This window comes from Homo sapiens, chromosome 8, assembly GCF_000001405.40.
Source record: "Homo sapiens chromosome 8, GRCh38.p14 Primary Assembly".
Lineage (NCBI taxonomy): Eukaryota > Metazoa > Chordata > Mammalia > Primates > Hominidae > Homo > Homo sapiens.
This window is the reverse complement of record NC_000008.11, coordinates 127983241-127996261: the sequence shown is the minus strand read 5'-3', so window position 1 is coordinate 127996261 and position 13021 is coordinate 127983241. Positions and strand designations below refer to the sequence as shown.

General features: G+C 47.1%; 1 long non-coding RNA gene across 51 annotated transcripts in view, besides 4 other annotated features; it reads right to left on the bottom strand.

Moving 5' to 3' along the window:
- PVT1 (Pvt1 oncogene) overlaps positions 1-13021 on the bottom strand; it is a 306733-nt gene that overhangs the window by 104995 nt on the left and 188717 nt on the right. For 23 of the 51 annotated variants that reach the window (NR_186151.1, NR_186146.1, NR_186126.1 and 20 more), the window contains one exon: positions 6971-7100. This is a non-coding gene — a long non-coding RNA (Pvt1 oncogene). Of the gene's footprint in view, positions 1-1033; positions 1380-3210; positions 3282-3322; positions 3605-6970; positions 7101-12057; positions 12359-13021 lie in introns of all 51 variants that reach the window. The other 28 variants (NR_186144.1, NR_186156.1, NR_186131.1 and 25 more) reach the window with 8 other exon arrangements.
- Positions 2966-3465: an enhancer, noted in NCBI's record as "H3K27ac hESC enhancer chr8:129005043-129005542 (GRCh37/hg19 assembly coordinates)". NCBI's record gives its function as "activates a minimal SCP1, AML or CMV promoter by ChIP-STARR-seq in primed H9 embryonic stem cells {active_cell/tissue: H9 hESC(primed)}" and the evidence as "EXISTENCE:reporter gene assay evidence [ECO:0000049][PMID:30033119]".
- Positions 2966-3500: a biological region, named in NCBI's record as "H3K27ac hESC enhancer GRCh37_chr8:129005043-129005542".
- Positions 3171-3500: an enhancer, noted in NCBI's record as "active region_27955". NCBI's record gives its function as "activates an Ori minimal core promoter by ATAC-STARR-seq in GM12878 lymphoblastoid cells {active_cell/tissue: GM12878}" and the evidence as "EXISTENCE:reporter gene assay evidence [ECO:0000049][PMID:35858748]".
- Positions 3466-3967: an enhancer, noted in NCBI's record as "H3K27ac hESC enhancer chr8:129004541-129005042 (GRCh37/hg19 assembly coordinates)". NCBI's record gives its function as "activates a minimal SCP1, AML or CMV promoter by ChIP-STARR-seq in primed H9 embryonic stem cells {active_cell/tissue: H9 hESC(primed)}" and the evidence as "EXISTENCE:reporter gene assay evidence [ECO:0000049][PMID:30033119]".

Below are 13021 nucleotides of genomic sequence, written 5' to 3'. Positions count from 1 at the left end.
CTATACCTGGGAAGGAGGGAGAGAACCAGAGGCCTGGATGCTGGGTGGAGGTTCTGTGATTTACTTTGTTACAAATTTAAGAATAAAACCTGCTGGATCAGGAGCTTTTCCTATCTCCTCAAATAAACCTGGATCCCAAGAGGAACAGAAAGGAGAAAGGTGAGTGTGGGAGAGGAATTGGAGTGCAAGCTCAGAGGTCCTTGAGGGAGGGAGGAGAAGGTGTCTGCTTTGGGGAATGGCAATAAGAGGTATGTTGGGATGGAGATACCCAAATGTGTAGCACTTATACCGATTTAGCAAATGGTCCTCTCATTAGCAAAAGCTTCTAAACATTAGCCTTAAGTTTAAAAAAAAAAAGGACATTTGAAATTATGCAAAAGCCCAGAGCACCAATATGCGCTTCACATACGTTCCGCAGGAAGATTCCTTCATTTGCAAACTGGAGTATATTACGTAATCATTTCCATTTCCTGGCAGGTTGTGAAGAGTAAATGACATCATATAATGTAAAGTGCTTGAAACACCATGAATAATACATTTGAGCTATTACTATTTTTACCATGATTACTGGTAGATTAAAAGCAGTCTCTTCATGGCCATCTTGATTACTACTAGTACTAACACGACCATCACCGCAAACACTACTACTACTATAAGGATAGTACTTTATTAGCGGTGCTTAATAGAATCTATTATAATTCTCAATACTTAGCATATTTCAGGAGGAAAACTGACTGACGGACTGATATAATGCACAATTAAAGAAATGAACAAAGAAATGGATAGATTCCTATAATGTGGGGGGTGTATCTTAAAAGAAAAGCAGTCCAATAGGTTTCAAAGAGCAAAACCAGGAGTCAAGAGCTGTCTCTAATCCCAGGAGCCGGATGCTGTGAACACAGGAGTGTTCAATAAATACCTAACTGATGTCTGAGCAAGGAAGAGACAAAGAATGACAACAGTCAATTGGGCTTAGCTTAGATAAACACTCAAAGCCAGGATACAGACAGAACAGGACAAGAGTGGCTCTTACAGTCACTTGATTCAGGGTCCTTGTTTTAATGATGGGGCTGTGAAGGATCAAAGGGGTCAGCTGGGGCTCAACACTCAAAGGGCAGCTTTGGGCCAAGTCAATCAAACCAGCCTGGTGAGCTGAGATGCACGTTACCCAGTAAATACAGGTATTGGGATAGACTGTGTCTCTGCAGTGTGATGGTTAATTTTGTGTGTCAACTTGACTGGGCCACAGGATTTCCAGAGAGCTGGTTAAACAGCATTTCTGAGTATGTCCAGATGAGATTATCACTTCAACCAGGAGACTGAGTAAAGCAGATGGTCCTCTTCAATGTGGGTTGGGCCTCATTCAACCCACTGAAGGCCTGAATAGAACAGAAAGGCACAGGAAGGTTGAATTTCATCTCTGCCTGATTGCTTGTTCTGGGACATCGATCTTCTCCTGCCCTTGGCATTCCTGGTCCTCAGGCCTTCGAATCTGGACTGGAATCTACACTACAGGTTCTCCAGCCCTCTGCCCTTTGTGACACGACAGCTGTTTCCTAGGTCTCCAGCCTGCAGGTGGCAAATCACAGGACCCCTCTGGGTCCATAATTGCATGAGCCAATACCTTATAATAAATAAATCTCCTAGATATAGATATAAATATCAAGGTAGATATTGATATAGACATGGATACGCATCTATCTTCATGTTCTATTGGTCCTGTTTCTCTGGAAAGCCCTGACTAATACATCTGTATATTTTGAAGGCTTTAAAGAAGGACAAAGCTCTTTTTTATCCACTCTGTTAACTCCTCATAGCCTATCTCAGCAACTGACTCATAACAGGAAAGTGGACAAGGGCAGAGAGGACAGGAGGGAATGGCTACCTCCTGCCAGTCACCACACAAGGTGCTGGGGAGGTGGGTTCAGTGAGACCCAAGGCTCTGCTCCCAGGGAAAGTTGGAGAGATCGTGTTTCCAGGCGAGATCCCAAACACAGCCCCCATCAGCAGAACCCGTCCCACAAGAGGCACTGTAGAGAGAAAGATCCTCATTTTCAGAAGAAACAGAGCTGAAAGAAGGGACTAGGAGTGGGCAGAGGACAATGGTGGAGAAGGAGAGACAGTTGGAGAGGGGGTGAGGAGCAGCACAAGAGAGTACAGAGAATGTGCTGGGAGAACAGGCAGGCACAGGGCAGGTTTAAGGGATTCAGAAGACTCATGTCCTGATTTGGGAGCCACCATCCATGAGCAGGGGGGATCTCAAGCAATGCAATTGCTCCAAGCCTCCAGTCCCTTCATCTGTGAAATTCTGGCATCCATGAAGCTAGCTTCACTCCCTGTGATTCCTTCAGAGAAAGCACAGTGGCTTTTCTCCTTTATTCTAGGCACCCTGCACAGTGGCACACTGCAGGTTCTCGTTCGATATTTGTGCAATACAAGAAAGGAGAAAGGATGAGAAATCACTTTATAAACTGTAAAGTCCTGGGCAGATGACAGGGCTGCCTTTGTTTCTTAAGGCAGACTGGGGAGCTTCTGAAAGGGGAATACTTTCTTCCTCACTTTGCCTTTCCAGCCCCAAGTCAGTGTCCTGAATTCAGTTAACTCAAGAAAACGTTCTCCAAGCATGTCCTATGTGCTGTCAAAATGCCAAAAGCTGGAAGCAGACAGAGAACAAGACCTAGACCCTGCAATCCAGGGGAGAAGAGCTGATGTTCAGGAAAGTGAAATGCTGCTTCTGGAGACAGAATAAATCCCCCCGGAGAGAGGATAAGAATTGACTATTCTAAAGCCCAGCCTTTCCTCAAAACCATAATGATAATCATCACCCATAGTGACAGCTACGGTGGGTGGTCACCTGTGTGGCTGGCTGCTAGATGAGCTGGACTGAAAGAGACTCAGAAATGCTTTCGTTTTCAGGTGGTGGCGCAGCCACTGCTCCCCGACTGGGCCTAGTGCATTGCAGACATCACGGAGGAAGCTCCGTGTCTGTGGGTGTGACGGTGTATGATCAGTGAAAGATGTTATCAGAAGAAAAAAAGTTGGGCACATTTTCCCCTAGACTTACTAATCCTTCCTCTGCAATTACCCTCATGTTTTGACATTAATTGAACTCTGTCTTTATTACTAAAAATAAACTCCAGGGCAATTGCAATGCACCAAAAACCTCAGTATGAAACCACAAGAAACAGTAATAGAGAAATGGGCCAATACCAGAGGTGTTTTGAGAAGATGTTTCTGTTTCAAGCGTAGAGTTCCGAGTGGGCCAGGAGTTCTTTAAAATCCTGTGGACACCAAGTACAGGAAGCAATCTTTACACACATACCTTGTGGCGAAAGACCGGTGCTGGCTTGTATCCCTTGACAGGGAAGCAGGAGCCTGCTGATGCGGTGTCACCAAAGGCCAGGAGGCCAGCATGACCAGTGTGGCAGTATCAGGCAGGGAGCCAGCAGATGACACCAGGGGAAGGCAAGGCCAGAAGAGGAGTCCAAAAGAGCAAAGTGAAGGTCTAAAGGGAAGAAGCCCATCCTGTCTGCATATCCAGGGAGCAGGGCCAGGGGTGAGCAAGAATGACACTGAGAGGGTCAGGAGCTAGACAGGTCAGGAGCTGGAAGGAGAAACAAACAGGCTCCTGTTCATTGCCCATTTCCTCGGGCAAGGTTCCGTCATCCTCACAACCAGACCAAGTGGCTTCTGGTCCATGATGTGGCTGGGAAAATTGAAGTCTGGCTGGGTGTGTGGTGTGTGCCTATAGTACTAGCTACTCAGGAGACTGAGGTGGGAGGATTGCTTAAGCCCAGGGATTGGAGGCCAGCCTGGGCCACATAGCTAAGACCCTGTCTTTAAAAAAATAAAAGAAAAAAATTTGTACGTGTGTTTTGAGACAGAGTCTTGCTCTGTTGCCCAGGCTGGAGTGCAGTGGCACAATCTTGGCTAACTACAACTCTGCCTCCCAGTTTCAAGTGACTCTTGTGCCTAAGCCTCCCAAGTAGCTAGGATTACAGGCGTGTGCCACCATGCCTGGCTAATCTTTGTATTTTTAATAGAGACAGGGTTTCACCATGTTGGCCAGGCTGGTCTCGAACTCCTGGCCTCAAGTGATTAGCCCACCTCAGCCTCCCAAAATGCTGGAATTACAGGCGTGAGCCACTGTGCCTGGCAAGAAATTTTTTTCCTTTTTTTTTTTTTTTGTTTTAAGAAAGAGAGAAGTTTGAAAAGCTGTAAAAGACTTGCCCAGAGTCAAATAGGCAGTGGGAAGTGGAGCCTGGGGTAGACCCTAAGTGTCTGACTCCGTGTTCCTGGTGCCTTTGCTGCACAGCAGGCAACAGTCCCGACTCATGGGTGGGAAAGGTGAGGATGCCCTCCTATTGGTGTGCGTCCCAGCCAGGCTGATTTCTAGACAGGTACAGACAGGCAGGCTCCCAGTGTGAGAAGTGCCTTTAGGACAAGTAGAACTGCACACATAGATGCAAATGCCTGGGCCTTTCTTCAGGTTCTGTCATAGAACAGACTGCCTGAGGCCATGCTCAGGACTGCGGGCCTCAGAAACCCAGCACTTGCCCCTGCTCTGTCTTTCTGCTCCCAGCAGCTGAATTCTAGGGAAATGTCTCTCCGTCACCCCACCCCGAGACAGACCTGCCAAGCTTCTGGCTTTCAGATTCTCTGCCACATGACTGAGGTCCCATCAGCCCTTTTCCCCAATATGAGAATAGCTTGTTCCAGCCCTCCAGGTGCAGCAGGGCATGGGGATCAGCTGGAAAGGCTGCTACACCTGTATGCTCTCCTGCTCCCTAAGCCTGCCTCAGAAGCATGGGCTCCCAAGACATAATTCAGTGACTGTCCCTGAGGGTCAAAAAGAGCTACGAGGCCAAGGCGGGCAGATCACAAGGTCAGGAGATCAAGACTATCCTGGCTAACACAGTGAAACCCCGTCTCTAATAAAAATACAAAAAAAAGTAGCCAGGCGTGGTGGTGGGCACCTGTAGTCCCAGCTACTCAAGAGGCTGAGGCAGGAGAATGGCGTGAACCCGGGAGGTGGAGCTTACAGTGAGCCGAGATTGCGCCACTGCACTCCAGCCTGGGTGACAGAGCAAGATTCCGTCTCAAAAAAAAAAAAAAAAAAAAGAAAGAAAAGAAAAAAAAGAGCTACGTAGGGCTCCCAAGGAAGACTTGTCAGCTGTAGACATACATTGCAGTAGCAGAAGTGAGAAATTCAACAATGATACGAAAATGAATGCGTAATATGAATGCACAAAGGTGCTGAGCTCTAAACAATGGAAAGGATTTTTAATTACTAAACAGCAGCTCAGCTCCCAGTATGCTTTATTCACAAGCATCTTTCAAGAGTCACGAGAGGCAGCACCTGCTCCAGGAAGCCTCCCGGCATGGAGAAAATCCCCTCCACCATCCTCACAGACACCTAGGGAGTATGTAGTATCCTATGTGTGCCAGTATCCCCACCTTGACTGAAGGGCAAGGCCTCATGCTCTTCACCTCTGCATGCCACAGGAATGCTGACTATCACAGCAGATTTGAAACGCAAATGCGCTTTTGAAAATTTAAGGCACAATACAAAAGATGAAGATGACATATGTAGCACAACAGAAGTACAGTTCTCTGCTATGCTCTCAGTTCTGACTTCTCTGTCTTCTCACCAGTCCACAGCTTCTCACCCACCTTTCCACCCTTGCATAGCTTTCAAATTCATGATAGGAATCATGTCAGTTTCCTTTTCATCATGTCATTTATTCTTTCCAACATCTTACTTAAAAAAAATTGCAACTGACCTCATTCTTTCCTCTGAACCTTTAAAAACTTTCTTCTTTTGGTTACTTCTCTATCTCTTTTTCTCTCTCCTTTCAATTACTCATTCATTTGTTGTTTCACCCTCGGTCAGGCACTATGCCAGATCCTGTGATGTGTAAGACAGTCCTTGCTCTAAGCAATTTCACCAGCAATAGGGGGAATGGGCAGGGGAAGGGGCAAGGGACATTTCAACCCAGTGCAGTAGCCATGGTATAGTGGAGACATGCCTTCACTAGCCCGCTGCCGTCCAGGGGAGGGGGGAATCAACTCTGCTTTGGGTAAGGGGCTGGGCACAACTGGGAAGGTGATTCTCAGCTGTTTCCCAGGCTGACTTGGTGATAGGTGAAAGGCTGGGGGGACAGCAAATGAAAGACTTCAAAATAGCCTGATACATGGAAGGAATTCTAAATGGCATAATTGAGGAATAATTTGCAAAAACTCTCTTCCCTTTTGGAGCATTTCTTCCTCAGTGCAAGGCAGCCTGCTAAGCTGTTTTGCTCCAATATCTCACTCAACACAAACAACATCTTCATGAGGCAGGCACTAATACCATCCCTATTTTACTAATGAGGAGACCAAGGCTTTGAGAGGCTGAGTGACTTGTCCAAAATGAGGCAAGTAGCAAAACCAAGAAAACCCAAGTCTACCTGAAGCACTCAGTCTTAACCTCTAACCCTTTACCTCCTGCACCCTCAGCCTTAGTGTGGAAGGAGCATAGAATTCAAGGAGGTGAAAGGAGGAAGCACGGATTGGCTGGGAAAGGAGGAAGAGCTCATGTTCTGGATGTCCCAAAGGTGTTTCAATCTGATTATATAACCCTCACCTCACCTTTTCCTCTTTTCCCCAAGGCTGTCTCCACATGTTTTCACAAGACAGCTGGAGCATCCTGCACCTTCTGCTACAAGTGGCGCATTCACTAGGAGATGGTGGGCTCCTCCCTCCACTAGGGACAGAGGGAGAGCTTCCTAGGCACAATGAATAAGTGGACTAGACTCTGAGAACCAGGTCGGGGAGAGGTTATGGGGAGCCAGCTTCCCGAACACATTGGAGCGGCACAGGAAGACACACCGAGAGGTCAAGAACCACAACCCAAGCTGTGCTGCAGGAGGTCGTCAACTCCAAAAGCTATTTTTGGTTTCACAAGGATCAGGAAGATAAAGTCGCTTACCTTAATTCTCCAATCTCAAAATACTCCAGCTTTAGGTCACGTAAGGACAGTTCTCAAGTCCGTCCAGAGTGCTGAAAGGATATGTATTTTTTCAGATTGAAAGTGCCTAAATCCCAGGTGTAACAGGATTCTAGAAACACACAAAAAGGATACATATTAATATCAATGTTTACCTTGAATAGATTTGGTAATGAGATGTTTCATTCATTTAAAAGATAAGGACTGCACATTTACTATACACTGAATGAGGAGCACAAGAAGAGAAGACATTTAATGAGCAATGCTTATGTGGCAAGCACTGTGTTAGGCATTTTATACACATTAAACTGTTTAATCCTATGAGATAGGCTTTGATATCCCCCATTTCTGAAGTCACACAGGCAGTCAGGGCAGAAGTGATGGTTGGGTCTTTCTGACTCATAAGCCCCCACCCATTAATCATGTTTCCCTCCCCTACTAGAGCATTTTCATTCACCTTCTTCCAAGAATACTAGGTAGAGAGGAATAAGAAACACACCCAATAACCCCATTCTGAGAATAGCCTGTCCCTGGGTGCCCAGCCCATTTCATACATGGTGGGGATCATGTGAGCCATGGAGGCTGCATCAGATTAATTTTGTTGTAAGTTTTATCTGAGCCCAACACTGTCATCTAGTAACATGTGTTCAGTGGACATCATGCATTATTCAGGAAACAAAAAAATGTAGCCTCACTAGAGATTCTTATCTTAACTGATCATCAAGATGGCTAGATGAGGTGGTCAAAAGGGGTGGGACAGTGTGGAGAATGAGGCCCAGGGGCCACCCTTCTAGGCTATCCTAAAGCAGCGCCTGGTACTTAGCCTGGGGATCCAGGCACTGACCTTCTCTCCTGTCCTTCAAAGAACTGTGATGCTCCGGTGTGGCCCCCACAGAAAACCCCATTCATACATTTACAGTACGGTGCCCTTTTCCCTTTTCAGGCCCCCCCACCATCCTCACTGGCAGCCAAATCATGAATGACATGAAGCTTAGTCAGCACAAACTCAGAATAAAGAACGCTGAAAAGTTCTGAAGGGGAATTTGCTCTCAACTCTGGAATAGCTGGTGAAACATCCTTGCCCCACAGGCAAGAACGGCGGGCAGGTGGCTTGTATTCCCCACTTTGATTTCCTCATCTCTCCCCAAGGAACAACTTGGCCATAATTGTCTTCTCTGAGGCACTCTGGTTGTCATATTCCTTCCTTAGATGTGTTGGTATCACGGACAGATCTGCAGTGGTTCTGCAAGCCTCAGAGTCCTCGCCTCCTCCCATTCAGTGCAGGCTTAACGCATCCTGCACTCAGAGTCCAGTTCCCAGCAGCACAGAGTGAATTCCCCCTTACTCTGAAAAGTCCCCTTGACTAGCTAGGCACGCAGAAAGATGCTGTCCTCAGCGCCTCTGGGCTCCCCAGTGAGCAGCCTCCCACACGCCTCAGGCATTGTGACCAGGAAAGCACTTTTAGCCTTATTGTCAAAATGAATTTGCTTCGTTACCCAAAAAGGGCAGAGGCACAGCCTCTTGGTTGACGGTGGGCTCTTCTCAGGCTTCCTGGGTTGGTGTCCCAGTTCTACTACTTAAAGAGGCTTTTTAGGACCCTGAACAAGTACTCAAACTTGAGCTCTCTGAGCCTCAGTTTCTCATCTTAGAGGCTTGTTCCTGGTGTTAAGTGAGAATCTTTGCAGAGTTTAGCACTTGTCTCTGGATATTATAAGCCCATAGAAATGTCAGCTTTTATTAGCACTACTTAGGCAAATGCTAGAGACTTAACTTCTTCCTCTCCTCCCAGGAGGAAATGAAAAGGCCTCCCCTCTTTCTATCTCACCACTGTAACTTAGTGTAGGGACTCAGCACATGGGGCCAAGGGAGCAAATGAAGGCAATGAGATTGGGCCAAAGCCTGGGGCTTCCATCAAAGGTTCTCAGCTCCAGGCCTGGCTGTAACCCTCCCTTTCCAGTGTACTCATCTGTGAAAAAGAGTGGATTCAAACACTACCCGTCTGCCAGGTGCGCTGACAGGATTAAATGAGACAGTGCGCAGAAGAGGCAGTCTGTAAACTACCAGGGAAATCCAGCTAATTATAACAACAGCGCCTTTACTAGCAAATTCTGTAGAGGACATTTCACTAAGGACTGTCCTCCTGGCACCTCACTGAACACACACAGAGTCCCCAAGAAATCAGGAGACACATAACCTTTCTTCCCATTTTACAGATGTGGAAACTAAAGTTCAGAGGAGCTAAGGAGTCTGCCTGACACCAAGAGACAAATCCACAAATACAGGGCTGAAGTGTTGGTTTGCAAGCTGATGTCCTGTCCCCTCCTCCTTGTAAGGGGCTGGGGAGATGGGGTTGCAATAACCCAGCACGTTGGCTCCTGCAGAAAAAAGAACCTCTTTCCAAGGCAGCCAAACTGATTAATGTTTTTAATTAATGTTTTTAGCCACACACACAAAGCAATGTTCCATGGAAATTAAGGAAATTAAAATTTCTAAGCTTCTCCCAGGAGCTGCAAAGAATCCTGGGCAGGCCAGGGTGTTTAGAGCCCGGTGCAAAGCAGAAGGTCATAGCCCCACCTCAAAACACTGAACCTGCTCAGCAGGGGGTCACTTCCCACCCACAGAGTGACAGGCCACAAGGAGAGAACTTGCTCAGAAATATGCCAATGCCAATAATTGGTGGGAGAAACAGGGAGTGAAGAGGAAGGTCTGATGGGAGGTGCTAGATCCTGGGACTGAAGGGTCAGGTGGCTGCCCCCAGACCCTCTGGCTATCCTCCCACCTGACACAGTTCTCAAGGATATCTACCTGCTGTGTGGTTGACTGAGGTCCCTGCACCTGATGTGGCCGAGCAAGCCATGGGCTTTCTAAGGACACTGACAACACTTCCCTGATGTCTCCTGGGACCGCAGAAGGTCATGCTGGGCCCAACGCTGTGCTTTGACGTCTGAAGAGCCTGAGTGCCAAGGACAGGCTGACTCAGGACCTCCAAGGCTCCCAGGAGGTTCGGGGCAGAGGTGTGCTCTGTGTTAACATCTGTTCTCCTCTCTGCCAGCAGAATATCAAGCATGCCACAGTTTCACATCATCCATTCCTCTCTACAGGCCGAGAGGCAGGGCCGTATTGTCTTCCTTCTCCAATCAGAAGGTGAATTGCACAAGGGCTAGGTAACCTGAACAAGGGGAGGCAGTCCTACATGTAAGGCAGGTCTCTGTTGGAAAGATGGAGAGACCCAGGGTATAACACACATTGACTAATCACCATCTCTGCTACCAGTTCTTGGATGCCACCAGAACGTGGCCCAGGCAGTGGGGCCAACTGGGTGGGCAGATGGCAGCCAGGAGCAGCCACCAAGGGCTAGGGTAGGAGCCCTTGGCCACTTGGCAGGAGACAGTGAACAAGCTTCGAAATCAGCAACAGCACTTGGGTTCATGATGTGGAAATCATCAAAACACCATCGCCCACTGCAAATAGATCATGGAGGTAGACTATGGTACCTGCAAGAGCTGTAGATGGCAGAGAGTGGAGCAGTTTCCCCTGGGAAGCTCCTGAGTGCAAGCTCCAGCTTTGGGATATGTTCCTTCCCTCTGGAGAAGGCCCCAGAAAAGGACACAGAAACAGACACTGCTTCTCACAGGGAGTCAGCAGAGCCTGGCCCCCACGCTTGCTAGATTCTATCAAATCCAGCAAGCCGAGCATGGGGTGCAGGGCAGGGTGGGAAGTGCATAGTCTGCCCAGCTCTGAGCTGATCCCCACCAGTTAGTTGCTGTGTCAACATGGGAAGTCAGCCTAGCTTCTCTGGTCTTCATCTGTAAATCGAGGATTAAAAAAAAAAAAAAAGCAGCTACTCAGCCGGGCACAGTGGCTCACACCTGTAATCCCAGCTCTTTGGGAGGCTTAGGCAGGAAGATCGTTTGAGGCCAGAAGATTGAAACCAGCCTGGAAGGCTGGGCGCGGTGGCTCACGCCTGTAATCCCAACACTTTGGGAGGCCGAGAGGGGAGGATCATGAGGTCAGGAGTTCAAAACCAGCCTGGCCAAGATGGTGAAACCCTGTCTCTGCTAAAACTACAAAAATTAGCCAGGGGCAGTGGCAGGCACCTGTAATCCCAGCTACTCGGGGAGTTGAGGCAGGAGAATCACTTGAAGCTAGGCAGCAGAGGTTACAGTGAGCCGAGATCACGCCACTACACTCCAGCCTCGGCGACAGAGTGAGAATCTGTCAAAAAAAAAAAGAAGGAAAGGAAGGAAGGAAGGAAGGAAGGAAGGAAGGAAGGAAGGAAAGAGAAAGAAAGAAAGGAAGGAAGGAGGGAGGAAGGAAGGAAGGAAGGGGAAAGAAAGAAAGAAAGAGAAAGAGAAAGAAAGAAAGAAAGAAAGAAAGAAAGAAAGAAAGAAAGAAAGAAAGAAAGAAAGAAAGAAAGAAAGAAAGAAAGAAAGAAAAGAAAAGAAAGAAACCAGCCTGGCCAACATGGCGAGACCCCTGTCTCCACTAAAAATACAAAAATTAGCTGGGCATGGTGGCGTATGCCTGTAATCCCAACTGCTTGGGTGGCTGAGGCAGGAGAATTGTTTGAACCTGGGAGGCAGAGGTTGCAGTGAGCTGAGATTGTACCACAGCACTCCAGCCTGGGCGACAGAGCAAAACTCTGTCTCAAAACAACAACAACATAAAACAGCTGCTCCTGGACTGGGGTGGGATGGATGGGAGTATTGTACTGCAGTGTCTGCAGAGTGCTCAACACAACCTCTGGCTCAGAGTGGGTGCTTGATAAACACTTTGTTATTCTCAGGGTCTAATTGTTGTCCTTATTCCTGTTGCCTGGTAGGCAAATTAGGTTTCAGGACAGATAGTCTGGATTTGAATCCTAGCTCTGCCACTTGCTGGGAATGTGACTATTGACAAACCACTCTACTTCCCGATGGCTCCGTTTTCTTATCTACAGAGACGCGGACGTGATCAGCAGCCATAGGGGACCATTGAGGATTACAGAATTAAAGCAAGTGGTGCAGTATGAGCTTTCAAAAATAACAGTCTCAACCCAAACTGAGGAGTGTTTCTATAAAACAACTTACCTGGACTCTTCAAAAATGTCAGAGTCGTCCGGGTGCGGTGACTCTCGCCTGTAATCCCAGCACGTTGAAAGGCCAAAGTGAGTGGATCACTTGAGGTCAGGAGTTCGAGACCAACCTGGCCAACATGGTGAAACCCCGTCTCTACTAAAAATACAAAACTTAGCCAGGCTTTGTGGCACACGCCTGTAATACCAGCTACTCGGGAGGCTGAGGCAGGAGGATCACTTGAACCCGGGAGGTGGGGGTTGCAGTGACCTGGGATCATGCCACTGTACTTCAGCCTGGACCACAGAGTGAGACTCTATATCAAAAAAAAAAAAAAAAAAAATCAAAGTCAAGTATGACTGGGGAACATGAGACACAGCCACTAAATGCAATAATGATCCATAATTGGGAAAAAATAGTCAAAAGGGACATTATTGGGACTACTGATCAAATTGTGTGTGGCCTGAGGATTGGATAATACAATTGCAGCAATGCTAAATTTCCTGAGTTTGATAATTATACAGTCGTTATGTAAAAGAATGTCGTTATCCTTGGGGAGCACACACTGAATATTTAGGGATGAAAGGGCATGTCTACAACTTACTCAAATGGATCAGGAAAAAATAGCGTATTTGGTGGTGGGGTGGAGTGTGAGTTAACAACTGATGATCTGGGTGTGCAGTAGTTCTTCATATGTTCATAATTTTTTTCTGCAAGTTTTAAATTATATTAAAATAAATAAGGACCACAAGCTACAGAACAAGAGGGCGAGAATCACCCTGAAGAGCCTGGAGTATTAACCATCCATGCAAGCAAGAAATCAAAGCCTTTCTCAAAAAAACCTATGTCACCTTAATCACAGATGTTAGGATTTATTACGTAGAAAACTACAAAGGGTAAGGCTGAAATTTCATTTGAACCACCACCTCCGTCCAAGAAGAAGAAAGAAAAATGGATGGCTACTACTGTTCCTACAGCC